At 38.2% G+C, this 23,233-nt stretch overlaps 1 protein-coding gene across 14 annotated transcripts in view; it reads left to right on the top strand.

Annotated features, from left to right (window-relative positions):
- The window catches only part of PKP4 (plakophilin 4), a 224,478-nt gene that overhangs the window by 163,404 nt on the left and 37,841 nt on the right, over positions 1-23,233 (top strand). For 5 of the 14 annotated variants that reach the window (NM_001377220.1, NM_001304969.3, NM_001377226.1 and 2 more), the window contains 7 exons: positions 635-766; positions 876-1,066; positions 4,523-5,072; positions 11,398-11,586; positions 13,718-13,934; positions 20,272-20,404; positions 22,131-22,344. In NM_001377220.1, coding sequence (NP_001364149.1) covers positions 635-766; positions 876-1,066; positions 4,523-5,072; positions 11,398-11,586; positions 13,718-13,934; positions 20,272-20,404; positions 22,131-22,344 — 1,626 coding nt within the window. Of the gene's footprint in view, positions 1-634; positions 767-875; positions 1,067-4,522; positions 5,073-11,397; positions 11,587-13,714; positions 13,935-20,271; positions 20,405-22,130; positions 22,345-23,233 lie in introns of all 14 variants that reach the window. The other 9 variants (NM_003628.6, NM_001005476.4, NM_001377225.1 and 6 more) reach the window with 4 other exon arrangements.

Raw genomic sequence — 23,233 nt, forward strand, 5'->3', positions numbered from 1 at the left:
AAATTAAAGCAGATAATGGAAGAGATGAGTTTGGCTGGAAGAAACAATGGTTAGGTTAGACTTGCCTATATTCCTTTAAAAAAGGCTAAAGGAATAAAATAAGCAGGTGAACAAGAAAATTTTCATTGCTTGCAATTCTAAAACTTTGTATAGAGTTCCTTTGACTGTAAGTGACATGAAATATAACATAAAATGTGCTCTACCTTCAGAGGCTTCATCACCAAGCTCAATAATATGAACGTTGTGTAAGTTTTCATTTTTAATTGTTTGGAAGATGGAGGACCCTTCTTGAAATACTTGGTCTCCATTCTCAGTCTTTTAATCCCTTGGAGGAAGGTGTCTGAGAGGTCAGTTTTCCAAGAGGAACAGGATCAGTTTTCAGATTTTGATTTAATATTGAGACTTACAATCACAACAAACAACATTCATGAAATTCAGCAAAATATATTAATGAAGTATAAGTATATGGAACACATTCATATAGTTAAGAGTCAGATGTGCTGTGTAAGCTGAAAATAATAGCCTTGTATTAGCATATAGATTCTAAGATGCTGTTGACAAACATCTGAACCTTTTTTAGCAAGTTTTTATGTAATGTTATTATATTTAGCTGATTAAACTTTTCTTGTTACAGACGTGCCAAATACTGGTGTAAGCAAACCTAGAGTTTCTGACGCTGTCCAGCCCAACAACTATCTCATCAGGACAGAGCCAGAACAAGGAACCCTCTATTCACCAGAACAGACATCTCTCCATGAAAGTGAGGGTCTGTTGTGTTATCTTTTAAGTACTGGATTTGCTTTTAAGATTTTATTCTTGAAAGCGAGTGTCAGAAGTGTGTATAATAAAGATATTTCTTGGTTTCATTCTTACAGGATCATTGGGTAACTCAAGAAGTTCAACACAAATGAATTCTTATTCCGACAGTGGATACCAGGAAGCAGGGAGTTTCCACAACAGCCAGAACGTGAGCAAGGCAGACAACAGACAGCAGCATTCATTCATAGGATCAACTAACAACCATGTGGTGAGGAATTCAAGAGCTGAAGGACAAACACTGGTTCAGGTAAGCCAAACGCATCAAGATCTCTGCAAAGAAATACCTTCCGGCCGGGCACAGTGGCTCATGCCTGTAATCCCAGCATTTTGGGAGGCCGAGGCGGGTGGATCACCTGAGGTCAGGAGTTCAAGACCAGCCTGCCTAACATGGCGAAACCCCGTCTCTACTAAAAATACAAAAATTAGCCGGGCGTGGTGGCGGGCGCCTGTAATCTCAGCAACTCGGGAGGCTGAGGCAGGAGAATCACTTGAGCCCAGGAGGCAGAGCTTGCAGTGAGCCGAGATCGCACCACTGCACTCCAGCCTGGGCGACAGAGCGAGACTCCGTCTCAAAACAAAAAAAAAAAAAAGGAAAAAAAAAGAAATACACTCCTAGTTGAATATCTGTTATAGGTATTTCTTATTAGAAATAAATGTGTACAATTTTTATAGAATGGATAAAATAGTAAAATCATTTTATTCTATTTGAGATACAATGTTAAATATGTTTGTTTCTATGAGTTAGCTCCCATTGATGAATTCTGATGAGTTCCTGGATACAGTAGAGTAATTCTTCTGGAAACAACAAGTTTGGCATGAGGAGAAGAGTCTAAGGGGAATGTAAGAGAGTTGAATGGAATGTTTTGGTCCCTGAGGGGTTATGAGTTCCTAAAAATACTAGGGCTAAAATATGCTATAAAAAGCTCTAGAGGGCAGGGTGCTATACCCACACCTGCATAAAATGGGATTTGCCCATTCTAACCAAAGGTTATTACCATCATCACTGGAATTATTCTCTAAAACTACATTTCTTTTCTTTTACTAGATAGAATACAGCTATTCCTGCTTAAAGAAAGTTATTGTATAGAAACATATCCATTCTGTTAAGTTAGGGTTCTCTAACTTGATAGCAAAAAATATATATTGCATGTATATTTATAAAAACTCTTCAGCTCCTTTCTCATTACCACTGTATTCACATCAGTCCACCAGCATGTCCCAGGATTCAGAGAGGCAATAGGAGTCCTGCATGGTGGTAACCAGTGAGGCTAACTATCTGTGCCAGGACCCCAAAACCCCAGTGCTTTCTTTAGAGCTGAAAAGTAGCAAGATAATCAAATAAGTTAGGAGGACACTGTGCTGCTTCTACTGCAATACAGGAAGCTCTACAGGTACACAGCAATGGGTCACGGTTCCCAACGCCCACAGAGAAACATAATACAACTTTGGCACTTTTGCTCAGCAATTCAGGAGAAATTTCAGAGTCATTTAAAACATGTTTGTATTAAACACAAATATAACATATGAATTTTTCAAGCTAAAATGGGAAATCTTGTGCATGTGGCAAGCAACTTCAGGCTGCACCCCAAGTCCTCAGATTATATATTTATTCTTTTGCTGTTGGGGATGCTTTGGTGGAAAAGTTTGAGAAGCTCTGGACTAAATGCTAATGGGAGTTCATCCGCTTAGGTGAATTTCTGTGTCAGCAGGTCTGAAATCACACTTTTCAACAGCAGTTACCTTATATCTATATAAATTTTATTGCCCTTAGTAATGATCATGTAAACACTTTTTTCTTTAAGAGTAAGTTGATTTTCTCACTAGAGCTAAAGAATTGTTTGCAAGGGGGTGTCTGAGACTTAATTTGCATGTAGTCTAGGCAACACATTTTCTAGTTGTCTGGACCAACTTATCACTTCATTTTGGTAGTTGCAAGTCATGTGGGATTTTCTTTGCATTTTGTTACCACTATTACCACCCAATCATGCTTTTTTTGTTGTTGTTCTTAATTAATAGAGACAAGGTCTCACTCTGTCACCCAGGCTGGAGTACAATATGGCAAAATCATAGCTCACTATAGTCTCAATCCCCTGGGCTCAAGCGATTTTCCTGACTCAGCCTCCTGGAGTAGCTAAGACTGCAGGCACATGCCACCATGCCCAGCTAATTTTTTTGTTTGTTTGTTTTTTGTAGAGGCTGGGCCTCACTATGTTGCCCTGGCTGGTGTCAAGCTCCTGGCCTCAAGCAATCCTCCCTCCTCAGTCTCCCAATGTGTAGGGATTATAGGTGTCAGCCACCACACCCAGCCCCAATCATGCTTGTTAACTTTCCAGCTGTCTACTAATTTTTAAACCCCATCTTTTTTGCCTTGTTGTTTACCATCCTCTTTCCTCCCCATGTCTTCTCCCCTGCTATTGCCTTCCCAAAATTGTTGAACTTGAACACACAGTGAGTTCTCACTGCAAGTGTTTCAGCCAGCCCAGTTGCATGCGACACCTGGAGGCAGAGCAGACATCCTCATATGACCCCTAAGGGTATACAAAGCCCTCATCTGATCCCTGCTTCTTTCCTTACCTCCCCACCTAAAAGTGGATGTGGGTTGATGACAACTAGACTCTAGCAGCCACTAAGGAGGTAACAGAGCAGCCTGGTCCTAGTCTTCTAACCTGGATCCCTAATGTCTTTATTTCTCAGTTGGCTCTCCTTTTTCCCATACATGTTTCCCTTGGGCCCCTTCTCCAGCCTAACCATTCCTTTTTATTGTTGCACAGCATGAAAAACAGTGTCCAGCACCTGCTGTAACTGCAGGAATCAACAGATTCAGAGTAGGATCAGCAATGGCAGAAATGTTCACTTTCCATCCTGGTCTTTTCCAGCTGTCTAGGCCAAGAACCCAAAAGAGGCTTTGACCATTCCTCCTGCTGGAATAGATTTGGGGGTGCCTTTTTTTTGCATCTCTTTAAATCCACCAATTAAAGCTAAGAACTCATAGATCAGAAGAGGTAAAAAGAAATGGCTAAAGTGAGAAGCTATGCTTGATCTAAAGGAATCAACAAATTTGCCTAGAGCACCTGTGTAGCCAAGCTGTTCCCCGAAGTAAATTCACAGTGGAGAGCGCCAGACCCACACTTGATCCAAATGTTCATTTATTCCACAATGAAAGAACATGTTCCTTTTGTTAATGGGACCAACCCATAAAGAAAAACAATGATAAATATTCCACTAGCTACATTTAGACTGATATATTCAAATTATATTCAAATTTTTGTTTTACATAAATGCATTGCCTTGGCCAAACTTTGCTTCATAGGGAATGAAGTAAGTACATTGTTCTGGTGCCCCTTCACGCTCATGAATTACATGTAACACTTAGAATAAAACATTTTATGTGCTGTGAAAAATGCATAGGCAATAGTTAAAAATGTAAAGATAAAAAAGGAGTATTAAATGTCTTCAGATCTCTTTTTACAGGTTAATTTTAGCATTTGGTTTAAACCACCAAAAAAAAAAAAAAAAACTAAAACAACTAAAGCACCGTGAGGAAAAATTAATGTCTGGCTCAAAGCATAAAAAGGAAAAGAATCTTAGATGCCTAAAATAGTGGATTCACATTCTGTAGTGAGCTATGTGTATTTCTTTTGTAATGGCAATGAACACAAAACCCTGGATAAACCCATTCTCTTTTTTCCCCCCCTTTCATCAGCCATCAGTAGCCAATCGGGCCATGAGAAGAGTTAGTTCAGTTCCATCTAGAGCACAGTCTCCTTCTTATGTTATCAGCACAGGCGTGTCTCCTTCAAGGGGGTCTCTGAGAACTTCTCTGGGTAGTGGATTTGGCTCTCCGTCAGTGACCGACCCCCGACCTCTGAACCCCAGTGCATATTCCTCCACCACATTACCTGCTGCACGGGCAGCCTCTCCGTACTCACAGAGACCCGCCTCCCCAACAGCTATACGGCGGATTGGGTCAGTCACCTCCCGGCAGACCTCCAATCCCAACGGACCAACCCCTCAATACCAAACCACCGCCAGAGTGGGGTCCCCACTGACCCTGACGGATGCACAGACTCGAGTAGCTTCCCCATCCCAAGGCCAGGTGGGGTCGTCGTCCCCCAAACGCTCAGGGATGACCGCCGTACCACAGCATCTGGGACCTTCACTGCAAAGGACTGTTCATGACATGGAGCAATTCGGACAGCAGCAGTATGACATTTATGAGAGGATGGTTCCACCCAGGCCAGACAGCCTGACAGGTGCGTACAAGGTGACAGTGCTACATAAAACCCAGTGAGGAAATCTTCTGTGTAACTTAAGTTGAAACAAAGAATGAAAAGGTGGAAAAGGCTCATTCGTGTTTTTAATCTCAGATTTTAAACTATAAACTTAAGGTTAACTTGTCTTTCAGGTTCTGTAATTCTTAATACATGAAATTATATACATTTATATCAATAGAATCCTTTTGCAATGGATATAACTCTTTTGTAATATTTTCCCACTAAATATTAGGGTTTAAAATGTGCTTTTTTTGCATTTCATAAGTATTAGTTGCAATTCTAAGCAGTTGACTAATTTTTTTTAATGAAATATTTTTTACCAGCCAGGCCTACCCCTAAACATACCCTAAAGTTATGTTAAAAGGTGGTATCAGAATATCTGTTTAAATGTTTAAATTTTTTCTTTAGAAATGCTTTGGTAATATAGACTAGACTATGAATTTTATCCCCTACTTGATTTTGGCATTTTAACGGTAAATGCACAAAGCGCTTATGAATCACTTTTACATGCCACTCCTATTAAAGCAGAAAGACACCGGGTCCCTAATACAGCTGTTCCAACTTCAGGGTTTTTCGTGGAGGGTTTCCTACATGGTGTAAAGATTTGGTTATTTTAAATAAAATGCAATTTAACTTTAGTGTTTTAAATTATATTTTAAAAGTAACATATACAGAATGGTAAAAATTAAAACTATATGGGAAAATATTGAAATAAGTGAAAGCCTTTTACCCTCACCCAGTCCCATCACAGTTGATGTGGCTTTCAGAATGTTTCTTTGCATTTACAAATATATGCAATCCATGCAAATCTGCACACACATTGTGTTTTCTATTGATGGAATTCTATCATATAGATCTTCTATACTTTGTTCTTTTCACTAACTATGTCTTAAGAGCTCTACCTCATTCTTAATAGATGCATGGGACCCATTTTTTATAGATATATCATAATTTATTTGCATTTTCCTCCTAATGGACAGTTAGGTTGTTTGTTATGTTTAGCTGTTAGAGATGATGTAGTACATACATTGTTCTCCCTGCATATTTCACATAAGTACTAGGGTAACTGGGATCCAGTAGAATTGCTGCATCAAAATATATGTGTATTTTTACTTTGAGAGATATTACGTAGAATTGCCTTCTAAGAAGGTTACACACGGATTTATATTTCTGCCAGTAGTTTGAGTGCCTGTTTGTCTATACCTTGTCTACACTGCACTAGTGCTGCATATTCCAAGTTTTTCATCTTTGCCAATCTGATAGGTAAAAAGCTGTACCTCATTGTTTTTAAGGGCTTTTATTGAGTTATGACTGAGGTTGAAGATTTAATCTGTTCATCAACGACTTTATTTCATTTTGTGAAACTACAAGTTCTTTTGTCTATTTTTATAATTCGTGAAAGCTTTTTTTTACTAGAGATAAGCTAGCACCTCGTAATATGCTTCTCAAGTATTTTTTCCATTTTGTCACTTCTTTTTATTTCATTTTGGTTTTAATTTACAAAACTGTTTAACATTCTTACATAGTAAAATTAGTATCTTTTTTATGTCTTCTAAGAAAATTTAAGCCTTTTTGAGATTTTTGTGATTGAATAATTTTGCCTGGAGAATTTATATTGAACTTGATTTTTGAGCTCAAAGAAATTCTTAGTGGAGAAACCACCTCTTTTTCATTCATCTATCCAAGAAGTGTGCTTGACTTAGATATTTTCTGAAATGCCTCTGAAAAGTATGCAGCAAAATGATGTAGGAATCATTTATGAAATTCTACCTCCCAAGGAAATCTTAGAAAATAAATAGTTCTGAGGACTTCCATATTCCCCCGTGTGTATAGAACAGCTATGTAGAAATCTCTGCTTGTAAGAGAGTAGAGAGGAGACTGGAGGAAGGAAGCCAGCATATAAATTATTGTCTCCATATTTAACCCTAAGAGGACTCATTTCCTCTGGTTTAAACAGTCTGTTTCTCTGACAATGCAGGTAAAATTAGACTTTATGTCTTGGGGGGAAAATATATATAATGTCTATTTTTTAGGCCCAGCCTCTCAGTGATTTTTTTCTAGAAATACTGCAGTGTTCTCAAGAAGCAAAGTGTTCTTGATTTCAAAGGACTAATAGCCTGCTAATTGATAAGCAATGTTTTGTACTACATTCAGGGACTTGGGTATTTGATGATCATAATTTAAATGATACAAACTACAGAAATATATATATATATACTCTAAAATGTTCATTTCAGAATAATCATGGCATGTAAAGAAAACTTTTGAGGAGATAAAGAATTGATCTTTGAAAGATAAATTTATGTTTATTTCTAATGCCATAAATATAAATATTTTTAATCACATGGAATCACCGTAATAATAGCTAAACTAATATGTTTGTGGAATTGCAAATAGAAAGTATTGGTTGGATAAATAATGCAGTGGCGTATCAGTGTTTTCCATTATTTGGAAGGGGAAGTAATGTTATTAAAAATTAATCAGTGGAAATGCTTCTGAAAAAATTATTTTTTATTTATTTTTATTTATTTTTATTTTTTTATTTTTTTTTGAGACGGAGTTTCGCTCTGTCACCAGGCTGGAGTACAGTGGCACGCTCTCGGCTCACTGCAACTTCCGCCTCCCGGGTTCAAGCGATTCTTCTGCCTCAGCCTCCCGAGTAGCTGGGACTACAGGCGCCTGCCACCATGCACGGCTAATTTTTGTATTTTTAGTAGAGACGGGTTTTCACCATGTTGGCCAGGATGTTCTCGATCTCTTGACCTCGTGATCTGCCCGCCTCAGCCTCCCAAAGTGCTGGGATTACGGGTGTGAGCCACCACACCCAGCCCTGAAAAAATTATTTCTAATACCAATTATAGAACATAATTATTTGAATTCCAGTTTCAATAATAGTAAATTATAGTGAGCTGTCTACACATATTCATTTTACTTAATCTACAGAGGCTATTTACTGTAATTTTTTAAAATGCTAATCTATAGGACTGTGTACTTGTGTTTTTAAACACACGAGCGGGTAAACAAAAATAGTTTACTACTATTTATTATGTCATTCAGAAGGATTCTTAATATCAAGAAAGTGCTACATCCCACTAAAGTTCTAAGTCTTTTATTTCCCATTATAGCCTATCACATAATAGTAATTCCAATTTACTAATGATCCTATAACGAGTGAACATCTGCTGGTTATTTTTTATATTTCTAAATGCAAAAAGCTCATTTTGTTACCTTTCTCATGAAATCATAGTCTGTGCTTACAAAACCTTTCAGATTGCATGGATTCCAGTGACGAATCCAGCCAGATACTTGTAAAATGAGAATATAACATTGTAATCGTGGTGCAGAATGCTTTGTCTTATTTCACATCCCTGTGCAGTAGTGGGAACATGAGGACTCAACCGATGTCAGAAGCATCCAGTCTTCGGCTTGGCTCTGTCCAAGTGTAAATGATCCTCAGTGTCTTGCACTGAGTCGTGAGTGTCTGTGGCTCTGTTGGGTGTTACAATAGCACCTCATAATGATAAGATTATCGAGGACTAGGTACATTCACCTGTCTGCTTTATGTCACTGTTAACAAAAACTGTGCACTTTTGTCTAAGGTATTCATGGGCTCCATAAAGAAATAGAGCTTAGACTCTGCTAAAAATGATAATAATAATGAGAAATTGGCCAGTGCCTAAAAAGCTGAAATCCTCAAAAGGGAATTTTGCAATAGCAATCACAGTGTCATCTTTAAAGTTGGTTTCCATGGCCCCCTCCTTGGTGTGCTTACCTTCCTCTTTAACCTGGTGTTTGTGGAGGGCTCTGTGGAGTTCAGACTTTTCCTCACCATGTGCCGTTGCTCCATGAGGGATAGCTGTGTCCAGTATTGGGTGTATAATGACAGAACACTGACCTGTGCTTTCCTGTCAGCTCGGCAAGGAAGTAGCTCTCTAATGGGGGCGAATCACATTTCCTTTTGGACTCTGTTTCCTCGGTTTTGAAATGAGGTTTGGCTGGATAATCTCCCAGTTATAAGATTGTATAAACCTGTGGTCTTCGTTATAGCAAGAGGGGAGCCAGTAGCTAAAACCCACATTGATTCGTTTAGTTTCTTTCCATGTCACATTGCTGTCCAGGGTAGGTAATAATCATTCACTTTAGAAGCTTTATGCATGTGTTAACTTTCTTGCCTCTCCTCACTAACCAACATGTAATTAGCACTCTTATTCAGGTCCATTTGCTTTTAGTTGTGATTTGATTAACTGAACTAACAGGATGGGAGCAATCTTTTTTTTTTTGAGACAGACTCTGTCTCTGTTGCCCAGGCTGGCGTGCAGTGGCGCGATCTCGGCTCACTGCAACCTCCCGCCCCCAGATTGAAGCAGTTCTGTGCCTCAGCCTCCCAGGTTCAAGCAATTCTCTGCCCAGCCTCAGCTGGGATTACAGGCGCCTGCCACCATGCCCAGCTAATTTTTGGATTTTTAGTAGAGTCGGGGTTTCACCACCTTGGCCAGGCTTGTCTTGAACTCCTGACCTCGTGATCTACGTGCCTCAGCCTCCCAAAGTGCTGGAATTACAGGCATGCGCCACCGTGCCTGGCCAATCTTACCTTTTTATAATTACTTACTTTGTTAATGATTTGCTATTTTTTTAAAAGCAAATATATGCTGACTGGCTTCAGATATGTTTGTCCTTTCTCTTATATTTGGGATATACCCTTAATTGATATTTTTACAAGTGACAGATTTTACTTACCAATAATGGAAGTCACAAACTTCTGAGCATCATAATATAGAAAATATTCAGTCTTTTTAAGAAATTGAAATGTTTGGGTTTGAAGTATACCTTTTTATCATGAGTCCCATGTGTAAACATTAGTTATTAGCAGTTTGAATCAAAATATTTAAAATGATTTAAGGTTCATGTACTACTAACTTTGTACTTTTTCTTTATACTAGAAAGAAGGTAAACAAGAATCTGGTATGTGAGTTCTTATAAAAACAGTTTTTGGGTTTGATTTTTTTTAAAAGAAAGGAAAAACAATGATAAATAGTATTTCATAATAATGTTAGTTCACTGATAATATTACAAAACTTATAGCACAAAACTTCCAGTGTTTTTCTGTAAAAATTATATGTGAGTTAATTGACATTTCAAAACAGCTTTTAAACATCAGCCTTTACCAAGTACATTATATAGGCGTTCTCTTAGATGTTGGGATTCAAAGAGGTGCGAGATGGTGGGCTTTGTGCCCAGAGAGAAGCTGATTGTCCACTGAATGAGACTGGCAGGTCCGCAGGATAGGAAGAGAGCAGCATGAACCACTGCTCATATAAAGCTTTTAAAGTGAAAATGATATAATAATAAGTCATTCTCTGTTTGATCAGCATCATAAAATAGCTTACTGGAGGATGAATCTCAGTGTATCAAATCATTTAATTTTTTGTTATTTTTCTTAGAAAACCTACTTTCATCCTGCTGCCAAGAGAAAGTGTTTTTGTTTGTTTGTTTGTTTGTTTGTTTTTGAGACGGCGTCTTGCTCTGTTGCCCAGGTTGGAGTGCAGTGGCGCAATCTTGGCTCACTGCAAGCTCCGCCTTCCGGGTTCACGCCATTCTCCTGCCTCAGCCTCCCGAGTAGCTGGGACTATAGGCTCCCGCCACCACGCCCGGCTAATTTTTTTTTGTATTTTTAGTAGAGACGGGGTTTCACCGTGTTAGCCAGGTTGATCTCGATCTCCTGACCTCGTGATCCACCCTCCTCGGCTTCCCAAAGTGCTGGGATTACAGGCGTGAACCACCGCGCCCGGCAGAGAAAGTTGTATTTAAAATATATATATGCAGTACTTTTCACGTGTGGCATTTCTCTTTGGTAAAACTTACTAGTTTTAGTGTTTAGACTTAACACTTGGTCCTATTGGTTAGGATTTTCTTAGTATATATCTATGTATGTATATATGTATTTATTTATTTTGAGACAGGGCCTCACCTGGTCACCCAGGCTGGAGTGCAGTGGTGTGATCATGGCTCACTGCAGCCTCGACATTCTGGGTTCAAGCAATCTTCCAGTTTCAGACTCCTGAGTAGCTGGGATCACAGACATACACCACCACACCCAACTAATTTTTTTTTTTAATTATTTTTTGTAGAGATGGGGTCTCACTCTGTTCCCAGACTGGTCTCAAATTCCTGGGCTCAAGCCATTCTCCCACCTCTGTCTCCCAAAGTGCTGGGATTACAGGGGTTAGGAATTTAATTAGGGTTTATGTTTTTAACCTCACTGTGATTGTCTCAGTTCTTAACGATGTAATTTTTGTGCCTCTAGGCTTACGGAGTTCCTATGCTAGTCAGCATAGTCAGCTTGGGCAAGACCTTCGTTCTGCCGTGTCTCCCGACTTGCACATTACTCCTATATATGAGGGGAGGACCTATTACAGCCCAGTGTACCGCAGCCCAAACCATGGAACTGTGGAGCTCCAAGGATCGCAGACGGCGTTGTATCGCACAGGTTCAGGTGGGCATCAACTCTGTTTACTGGTTTCCTGATTTCATAGGCCCCACAGTAGAAGTGTTTTATTGAGATTGGGTTCCCTGTTAGAAGGAAATCATGTTGCCCATTTGGTTGTCAGATAAGCAGCTGTGACAGCAGATCAATAAGCAATAAAACAGGTTCATTTAGTACCTATTTATAGGTGATATATTTTTACCTTAGTACATTCTAATCAATGAACATAGTGATTATACTGTTAATTCAGGAATAAGTTTGTAAAACTGTAAATCTGACTCTCCTCGGGTTAGATGCATATTCAGTATCAAAAGGAAAGCCTTGTTGGAATATTTCTTTGTAATTCTTTTGCCAAACAAGTTTTTGGAGAAAATCCATACATGAGTTACTTGGCCATCTTTGATTTAGCAAGCATGAAGCCCAAGTGTATTTGGCATTACTCCTTTTTTAATGTTGGATGTTCTCTGAATAGTTAAATGTAGAATGTAAAATAGATACCCCTTGCAATGGACTCAAACTGGTACAGGATTCAATAGCGACATTTATAAAAGCAGGGAGCTGGAGCATCACACCCTTGTACCGCCAGTCCTCATGTTTATGCCATACCATCAAGGCTCATACAGCAGATGCTGTAGCCCATGGTGGTGTGAGCTGCCAGGTTGTGCTGCACGGCTAGCTCATGGAGTCTCAAGACTACTTTTTTTTTTTTAGTAAGTATCACAAATTTATTAACATGCTTACAAATGAACCCTAGGTAGCAATAATAACCCCTCAAAGGTACAACTCTAGAACACCAGAGTGGGGAAGACTGTATCTGAATTTGTTCTTTGCAGGAAACTGACAGTTTGATCCACTGAGGGATTTATCTTCTAATAAAATGTACCATTTCTAATAGACATTAATAAAGAAATATTTCGCTTTTCCTTATGTCTGTAAATTGAGGAATTCCTTTAATAAGACTAAGAAATAGATATTGTTTAAAATCTTTTTAATTGCAGGAAGATATGTACACAGTTACTGGAGGGATACCCACTGACATAATTAGTAAAGTCATTTTAAATACAGTGTAGAGTATCTTTGTAATAGCATCATACAGTAATTTAGGGGAGTAGCTGTAGAATCATTTGATATATCAGTCTTCTTTCCCTCTTGTGAAGTAGATTTTCCAGTGTTATTACAATCCACAGGTCTAGAAATAAAATGTATAATAGTCTGTCTATATCCATGGAGAATACGTTCCAAAACCATCAGTGGATGCCTGAAATGGCAGATGGTACTGAACCCTGTATATACTATGTGTTTTCCTATACATTCATTCATGTGATAAAGTTTAATTTATAAATCAGGCACAGTAAGAGATTAACAACAATAACAAAGAATGAAATAGAACAATTAAGTAAAATAAGGGTTGTTTAAACACAAGCACTGCAGTACTGAGACAGTAAATCTAATAGTCAAGACAGCTGCTAAGTGACTAACAGACTAGTAGCATCTATAGCATGGGTACACTGGACAAAGGGATTATTCACGTCCCAGTGGGATCACAGCTGAATGGCACAGATTTCATCATGTTACTCAGAATGGTGTGCAATTTAAAACTTATGAATTACTTGTTTCTGGAATTTTCCATTTGATATTTTTGGACAATTGACCACGGGTAACTGAAACCATGGAAAGCAAAACCAAAAGATAAGGATGGACTACTGTAGAATAAAATAAGTAACCTGGGTACACGAAGTGTTAAAATTTTGATGGTTTTAATTACTTACAAATTTGAATAAATATCTTGTTTTTACCACTAGAATGAAATTAATAAATTTTGCTATTTTATCATTTATCTCTAAGATTCTTATATTTCTCTCAGTTTTGTTACTGAACCTCAATGAACATACTATATAAGCAGATTTGTAGTTTCACTTTTGCTGTTTCTTGCTAAAAAATTAACAAAATATTTATGTACATTAAAAACTTAAGTACCCTTTTTAGCACTAATAAGGTAGAATTTTAAAATCTAAAAGTAAGCGATTTATATAATTGCCAAAAAATATAGTCCTTAAAATTAAAAATGTTTTACCTTTAATTAAAGTGTGATCTCATGGAGAACATACTAATCTTTTTCAAAATGTTGACTTTCTAGTAGGTATTGGAAATCTACAAAGGACATCCAGCCAACGAAGTACCCTTACATACCAAAGAAATAATTATGCTCTGAACACAACAGCTACCTACGCGGAGCCCTACAGGCCTATACAATACCGAGTGCAAGAGTGCAATTATAACAGGCTTCAGCATGCAGTGCCGGCTGATGATGGCACCACAAGATCCCCATCAATAGACAGCATTCAGAAGGACCCCAGGCGAGTACCAGTTAGGAGTCTCTAGAAGGCTACAGTATTGCAGGAGTCAGCCAGTTCCTCCATTTTGACTTTTTTAAGTTGCTAAGTCTATTATACTATCATTATACTATCATTAATTCCATATATATTAATACTTCCAGTTGTATTCCAGCTATATAGGTCATTGAGGTTAATTTCATTTTAAAGATAGATTCCTTCTTTCCATCCTTTCATAATAAGTTAGAGAAGGCACAGATCCATGGGAATATCTGCAGCATTCATCACTGAAATATTTCATCAAGACAACAACCTGGAATAGCCTCTTGGAATTAAACAAGGCTTTGAAAGATCAATTTACCCTTTGCCCTTATCCTGACCGACTTCTTCGATAACAGCTTCAAAAAATGGATTTGGTTATTACAAACTAGAGAAAGACCCGTGTTACATGTTTTCAATCATAGTGGTCAACAATATATAACGCTGTTATTAACCAGGTCCTTTGAAAACAATTTGTGACATTTAGGAGAAGACAGTCTTTATAAGAAATTCTATCTAATAAGCAAAAAGTGTTTGGCAAATCATAGACGTTTCCTCCTTCTGATTTTATTTGGCCCTGTAGACAGCATTTTTATTAAGATAATATGAGTCATTTAATACTTGATTGATTTTGAAAAACTGACCTTGTCCTTAAAGCCATTTAAAATATTCAGGAAATAAAGATATTTTGAAACTAAAAGAATTTTCATTTCTGAAAGAGTGAAATTGTTGCTAAATTTTAAGCGCTTTAGTGTTATTTTAAGGCATGTATGCAAGATTTCATTCACTCTTCGCCCACAAATAGTTGCTTCACTGGAAAATTGTTATAATTATCAATTCATTTTTAGCAGCCTACCAACTTGTTTTAATGAATGTGAATTAAAATGATGAGTGAGGTTTTGGTCATTAAAACAAAATGACTAAAGATACCTTAAAGTTGAGTGGGAAATCCACTGCTTCACTAAAACCGCTTCACTTATTCACTTCTATTCCTGAAATTCTTTAAGCTATATAAATGCATTTGGTTCTGCTACTCCTGGTTTGCCACCTTTTTGTCATTTTTAAGGAGTTTCAAAAATAACTTGTCTAATAACACCTACAGCTTGTCAGAGATACTCTTACTGATTTTGTTTTTTCAAATCCTCAAAATGACAAAGACCTAAGGCACCCAAATAGATGCAGAAATTCCCAAAAGAGTTTTGAATTGTAGGTAATTTAGACCATCCCTTGGCTGGACCTGAAGAGAAAATAATAGCTACCTAGAAAGGCAGTGAAATGTGATGAGAACTTTGAGTTTAATATGTGTCCCTGAAGACTTCAGTTTTGACCTCTAATGTGAGTTGATTCTCTATAAACAAGGACTTCATGTATGATAATATACCTCAGCTATTCATAGTGTGATAATTTCATAGTCTAATGCATAAAACTGATGGCTGTCTTTGATTATGTGAAACTTTACTGATAATGCATTTCGTAAGGTGAATAAGTGATTATTTGGTAGGTGCATTTATTCTAGCTAAAACTGGAATTCAGGTGACTTTGAAGTTTGAATATTTAAACCAAAATTAAAAGCTCATGACAACTGTTAATTTTTAGTTTTGAAAATAGCAATTTGAAGTAATTCACTACAAGTTTTATTCACTTGTAAGCCTTTATTATTAATGCTACATTACAGTTGGCCTGAAAAATTCTCTTTAAGACTGAGGAAGTTATTGATCTTTACTGTATAAAAGGAAATCTGTGAGTTTTTTTATAGTTGTCTACTTGGAAACCATATTTATTAATAACATCAATGATGCTTCTGAAAGGAGTAACGTAAAAGACTTCCTGTGTATTCACGTTTCCATCTCAACTCATTTCCCTTTGGCCTAAAGAACTTCCTTTAGCCTTTCTTGTCTTGCATTTCTGCTTGTAACAAATTCTCTCAGCTTTAGTTTATCTGAAAATATTTCACTTGTTTTTTTAAAGGATTTTTTTTTTGCTAGATATATAATTCAGGATTTACAGGTGTGCATTTTTTTCTTTCTGTATTTTAAAAGATGTCATTCATTGTCTTCAGATCTCCGTTGTTTCTGTTGATAAGGCAGACATCATGTGCATTCTTCTCATTATGTAATGTGTCTTTTCTTTGGCTGCTTTTCAGATTTTTCTCTAGCTTTCAGCTGTTTTATTCTGGTGAGCCTAAGTATAATTTTCTTTGCATTTAACCTGCTTAGGGTTCACTGAGATTCTTGGAATGTAGGTTGATGTTTTTGTCAAAATTGGGAAATTTTCAGCCATTAATTCTTTAAGTTTTTTTTTCTGCCCCAAACTCTCTTTTCTCCTTCTAGGACTTGAATTAAACACATAGGATCACTTTATTATTTTGCAGATTACTGAATCTGTCTTCATTTTTTAAATCTTTTTTCCCTGTATTCTTGTAATCAGAAATTTTTATTAATGCCTTCAAATTTAGTGTTCTTTGTCCTATAGACTACAATCTATTGTGAAGCCCTTGCAAATTTGTTTTTATTTCCAATCCTTGAATTTGGTTCCTTTTATATATTCCATGTTCCTATGAGATTCTCCATCTCTTCACTCCTTATATACATCTTTTTCTTTAAGTCTTTGACACATTTATCATAACCATTTAAAATATTTCCTCTGATAAGTTCAACATCTGGGGTGAGTCTGGGTCTGTTTCTATTGGTTGCCTTTTTTACATATTTATAAGTCATATGTTTCTGTTTCTTCTCATGTTTAGTCATTTTAAATTATATACTGACGGTTGTAGATGATACATTATAGGGAATCTGGATTAAGTTGTCTCCTGTTAGGGTGCTGAGTTTTGTTGTGGCAGAGAACTAAATTACTGGCAGATCCTTTCAATCCCATCAAGATTGGTTTTGTTCATTGTTAGGTCTAGTTCATATTTCTTTTAAGCCTTAGAACATGATCCTTACCCCTAAAACTTGGCCTTTGTGGAGTCTTGACTAAATTCCCAAGGTGTTCAGTGAGGTCTGCACTCTGACTAGGCTGGGAGTCCACATCACGTGGTACCTGTTCAGCCTTGAGCCGTGCAGCAGCCACTTTCCACCAGACCTGTGCATGTGCCCTACAGCTCAGGGTACAACTAAGGACTTCGGATAGTCCACACGCAAACCCGGAGAATCACCTCTGCTTAGCTCCCTTGTCTCCAGTACTCTGCCTTGCACATTCTAACCACTTTGGCACCCACAAATTCCACTCGCTCCCTGCCTCAGCTCACTAAATCCCTCACATACTACTTGGCCTCAGCTTCCTGTGTCTTGGTCCAGAAAGTGCCCTCAGGCAGAAAGCCAAGTAAACATGGGACTCGTGGATGTTTCCCTCCTCTCAAGGATTATATTCTTGTGTTGCCTGTTTTCGAGGGTCTAAAAACAGTTTTCTCCTACATTTAGCTAAATTCACTTTTATAATTGTTTATGGTGGGAGGGCGAAATCCAGTACGAGTTACTCTATCATGGCTGGAAACAGAAGTCTGGGCTTAGGTTATACTGAAGCAAATCCTGGCAGGCATTGATGCCATCCAGCCAGCCTACAAATTGATAGCAGTTTTTCGAGGGTAAATTTCTACTGAATTTTCATCGAGGTTGGAGTTGAAGCCAAGCAAGCCTAATTGCCCAGCTCTGGCAGGAGCCCACCCTCGGGGCTGTCTGGCCCTCATGGCACCGGGGATGTCAGGAAATCTTGACCCTCAGTGTCCCATTTAAAGAGGACAAAAATGTGTATTTGTAATGATTGTGAGTCATCAAAGAAAGAGTAAATCACACTCCTTGCACTCTGTTAATTACAACAGAGATTTACATAATAGGCTTTAGACAGATTTTCTGAGAAACGATTGATAACAGTTTCAATATATAAAAGGAAAACTATTTGTTACCAGGAATTCATCTATTTAGAATAGCTCATTTTTTAGGGATGATGAATATTAATAAAACATCTGTGTCAGAAGTAAAAGTATATAAAATATTTTAGTATTCATCATCATATTTAATCATCACAACCAACCAGTGAAGATTGAAATATTAGTTTCATTGATCTTGTTTTACAGTTGAGGAAACTGAAGCTCCAAATAATTAATTGGTTTTCAAAATCACACAGAAATGGAAGGACCCAAGACTGAAACCCAGGCAATCTAACTCCATATTCTGTGCTTTTTCTGCTGTTATCCTGCCTCCCTTGGCATTTGCTGTATTCTTAATGGCTGTTAGTGACATCACCCTCCAGCCTGTTCACCAAGCCAGAAACTCCATCTCACACCTGACTTCAGTTTTTAGATCATCTGGCTGCTGTATAAAGAATGGATTGGGGGTGCAGGTGGGGTGAGGGGATAATATTAGAAGCAGAGAGAACATGTAGGAAACTGTTAGACTCTTCTGGGCAAAATGGAGAAAATGAATGGATTTGGTATATGTTAAATATTTTGTAGATAGTCAACAGAACTTGCTGATGGATTCCATGAGGGAAGATGAAGAAAAGAGAGGAATCAAAGAGAAGTCTATTTCGTTTCAAGCAGATGTATAGATTCCTGTGCAGATAGTGGGTAATCTGCATGACACCCATCTTTTTGTATTCTAGGGCATTCTTTCCTTGGCCACTAGAGTTATCGTCTGTATAAATGTGACTATGTCACATCCTCTTACTCTCCTGCTTCACAGCCTTCATTCCTTATGTGTAGGCACACATATAGACCACCTGGGTTTCACTAACCTCTATCACTAATTACTAATCCTGAGTTCCTTATCTGTATCTAATGTTATTTTAATAGTGCTTACCTCATGAGGCAACAGTAAAGGTAAATGAGATAATGAAGGTAAAGTTCTTGGCACAAAGCCTGATATAAGTAAACTCAATAAAGGATAACTCCTGTTATTGGTATTAAGACTAAACTTTTTAGTTTGGCAGAGAAGACCCTGTAAATAGAATCGTATCTTACCAATATTTGTATCTCCAGCACCATAGCACAGTAAGAATTCACTAACTGAACGCATGAGGGGTGTGTGTGTGTGTGTGTGTGCGTGCGTGTGTGTTTGCGTGTGTGCACACAGGTGTGGGATGACATGCCCCTTTGCAGGGGTCTAACAAGTTAATACATGGAGACTTCCCAGATCAAGAGAGACTCTAAGGCTTCAAAAACCAGGCAGGAGAATTATCACTCGGTCATTAATTTTAAAGATAATTTTAAAGGTTTACTCAGTATGAATTCTTTTTTTTAATAAACAACTAACTTTATCCTGTAATCAGAGTCTGCATATTTGTTGTTCTGTGAACCATTTTCTAACAATCTGCTTTTCACATAATATAAGCACAAACTCACATTTAACAAGAATTCCAAACAGTACACCAATCAGATGACATTAGAAAATCCTGAAAATGGATGTTAGCTGAAAAAAAGGAAAGTATAAAAGTATATATACATAGCATGATTATGTATTCATTGTTCAAAAAAATGGTATAGCATAGTGTTGGAGGGCACAGACTCTGAAGGCAGGGTACCGCTTCGCAGTTTACAGCCACGTGGCCAGGCGCATGGCCTTTCTGCCTCAACTTCCGTTTCTCTAAGGTTGCCGTAAGAATAAATTAATAAATATATATAAAATGCCTGGAATAGTGCCTGACACAGGATAGGGGTTTATGAAATATTAACTACTATTTAATAATAACCCAGTTTTATGGAAAAAATTCCAAACTCACACATGTGTGCACATTTGCACACATATATAGAAAAACAGGAAATGTCAGCAGTAATCCTGAATATAGGATGACTGGTCAAATACTTGTTTATAGTTTTCTGTGTTTCTGTGTTATACTCAAGAGCAACCATAAACATTGTTTCTTAAAAATCCTCAGGCCCACAATGTTTGTGATTTCTAGGCTGACGCCAGCCCTGTCTGTTCCCACCAGCCCTTCCTCTCCCTTCAGGCATGACATCTCACTTCGCTACAGTGCACGTGTTTACCTGAGCCTTGCACCTGCAGATTTCTTACATAGGTAGAAAGACATAAAATTAGAATCAGGAGGAGGAACACGAGAGTGGAAGTTACTTATATTAAGAATTTTCTTTGTTCCCCTGAATCTCTTTCTGTGCATCTGTGCGTCATGATTTCCTTAAGATCATAAGCATCTGGGCCTCTGCATATGTTCATCAGGGGGAAAAATTATTTAGGTATGTATTTTTTAGGATTTTTGTAACTTCCCATTTTTGTCTCAGCTGAGCTTTTTTTCCTTATACCAAGTGTTTTTTTCAGTGTATTTTTACAACATGGGCCTTCCTTTCTGAAGCCATGTTTTTCTCATGTAGGGAGTTTGCCTGGCGTGATCCTGAGTTGCCTGAGGTCATTCACATGCTTCAGCACCAGTTCCCATCTGTTCAGGCAAATGCAGCGGCCTACCTGCAGCACCTGTGCTTTGGTGACAACAAAGTGAAGATGGAGGTACAGGACATGGTGCCTGGGATGACTGGGGAAAATAATGCCTTTGCATTTAACAGCCACGTGCTTCTGTATTTAAGAAATTACCCAGTGTAATTCAAGAGTCTTTTTAAAGGGATATTTTGATACCAGATACTCTTTCACTTAACTATGCATTTCAGTATCTCTCAGGAAAAACTAGGATACATATATTTCTTGGAGTGCTTTCAGCATTTTCAAATCGTATGTCTACTTCATTAGCTTATTTATAAAACCATGAAGCAAAAATCAATTTAACTTGCATTTAAAAAATATTTTAGGCCAGGCACAGTGGCTCATGCCTATAATCTCAGCACTTTGGGAGACAGAGGCTGGCAGATCACCTGAGGTCCGGAATTCAAGACCAGCCTGGCCAACATGGTGAAATCCCTTCTCTACTAAAAACACAAAAATTAGCTGGACATGGTGGTGCATGGCCTGTAATCCCCGCTACTCAGAAGGCTGAGGCGGGAGAATCACTTGAACCTGGGAGAAGGAGGTTGCAGTGAGCCGAGATCAAGCCACTGCACTACAGCCTAGGAGCGAGACTCTGTCTCAAAAAAAAAAAAAATTATTAGGTTAAAAATTATAGTATTCATTGAACTAGTGAGCCAATGTGTTTTATGGGATTCTAGTCAGATTGGTGCCAACTATAAATAAGTTATAGAGGATTATAACCATCACTAAGGCTGAACATACATGAATATTTTATTTCAGGGTTTTTTTGGTATTTATAGAAACATAGCAAGTTACTGGTTATTGGCTATAATTCTATATAACATATAGATTCTTTCTTTAACGTTTCAAGCCTTCTTCTGACCCACTGTGTTATATAAAACTGAAGTGTTTTTCATCATTTTAATGTGCATAACAGTATACCAGTTCCAGACCTAAAAGTGAATGTAGTACATAAAGCCCAGAAATACTCAAATAATGTACTAATGAATTGACAAATGGAAGAAAATTTAAGGAGAGTAGCCTAGAGAACTCATTCTAGAAACTAAATAACTTAAGTCAAAAATTATTTCCTATATTGCCTCAAGCCCTGCAGATAGCTTTGCTATGTTTGTGTATTTGCACATTGCACTGCTGGAGTGAAAGCACAATTCTTGATGTGTGTTCTGAGGCTTGGAGGAGGACTGTGCTGCCTGCCGATGGACATTAAACCACTTAAATCTCCTATCTTTTTTTGAAGCCATGAACCCAGGAAAAGTATCATCTACAAGAGTGTCCTTAGAATTCTGTTTTTTTGGTGGGGGGTGGGGGGCACAGAGTCTCACTCTGTTGCCCAGGCTGGAGTGCAGTGGTGCAATCTTGGCTCACTGCAACCTCCACCTCCCAGGTTCCAGCGATTCTTGTGCCTCAGCCTTCCAAGTAGTTGGGATTACAGGCGTGTGCCTCAACACCCAGCTAAGTTTTCTCTATTTTTAGTAGAGACGGGGTTTCATCATGTTGGCCAGGCTGGTCTTGAACTCCTGACCTCAAGTGATCCGCCCATCTTGGCCTCCCAATGTGCTGAGATTACAGGCATGAGCCACCGCACCTGGCCTCTCCTTAGAATGTATAAAAGTTGTCTTATTTGGAATAAAAAGTAACCTTTGAAATGGTCTAGAGATATCCACATCCTGTGATCTCTCCATAACGGACTTCTGTATGATCACTGATTAATTGCATGTTACTTAGGCCTGGTACCTAATATTTTTCATTCTAGGTGTGTAGGTTAGGGGGAATCAAGCATCTGGTTGACCTTCTGGACCACAGAGTTTTGGAAGTTCAGAAGAATGCTTGTGGTGCCCTTCGAAACCTCGTTTTTGGCAAGTCTACAGATGAAAATAAAATAGCAATGAAGAATGTTGGTGGGATACCTGCCTTGTTGCGACTGTTGAGAAAATCTATTGATGCAGAAGTAAGGGAGCTTGTTACAGGTAGGTATAGAATGTGATCTCGTCCTAGAGGAAATGTTGAAAACAGTCTGGACTGTGCCCTTGTATAGTGGCACTATGGAAGAGTTGGAGGTTCCAGGTAATAGATAATGAGATATATATAGTGCTCACAACTGTGAAGGCTGAGAATTATTTAGTCTAATGAGTCAGAAACCGTTTAGAATGCAGTCATCTCTATTAGTATAAGTTATTGTACTTATTAATTTGTAAATATCAGCTAACAGATGTCTTTTTCATGGAGGACTAAATATGACATTTTTTACATGTATTTCATAGTAAATCTAGTTGTATTAAATAGACTATCCTATATTATGAAAATAAAATATACTTAATGGATTGGCAGTCTTTTACGTTAGCTCAGCTGGTGTCTGAGTGCCTGTTTGTATTCCCACGTACTTTACTAGGCCCCAGGGATAGAAAGATGAATAAAACTCAGTGCCTGCGCTTAAGTCACCCTCAGATTGGTGAGGAACACAGGTGGTTTTGTGAGCGTCAGGGAAATGTGGCAAGTCTCACTCAACAGAGGTTGCATTGGGCACAGAGGATGGGTAACGAAGTTCCCTGGGTGACATGAAACTGAAGTTGGCCTAAGGGATGAGGAAGCATTGGCTGGATAGGCAGAGGTCTTTCTAGTTACAAGCTCCGAAACAGCATGGGATATAGTTCTGGAGCTACCAGCAAGAGGGGGCTGCTGTGTTAAAACCTCGTGAGGGCCAAGTGTGGTAGCTCACACCTGTAATCGCAACACTTTGGGAGACCGAGGCAAGAGGGTCACTTGAGGCCAGGAGTCCAAGACCAACCTGGGCAACACAGGGAGACCACATCTCTACAAAAAATAAAAATAAGTAGCTGGATGTGGTGGCACATGCCT

Source organism: Homo sapiens, chromosome 2, assembly GCF_000001405.40.
Source record: "Homo sapiens chromosome 2, GRCh38.p14 Primary Assembly".
NCBI lineage: Eukaryota > Metazoa > Chordata > Mammalia > Primates > Hominidae > Homo > Homo sapiens.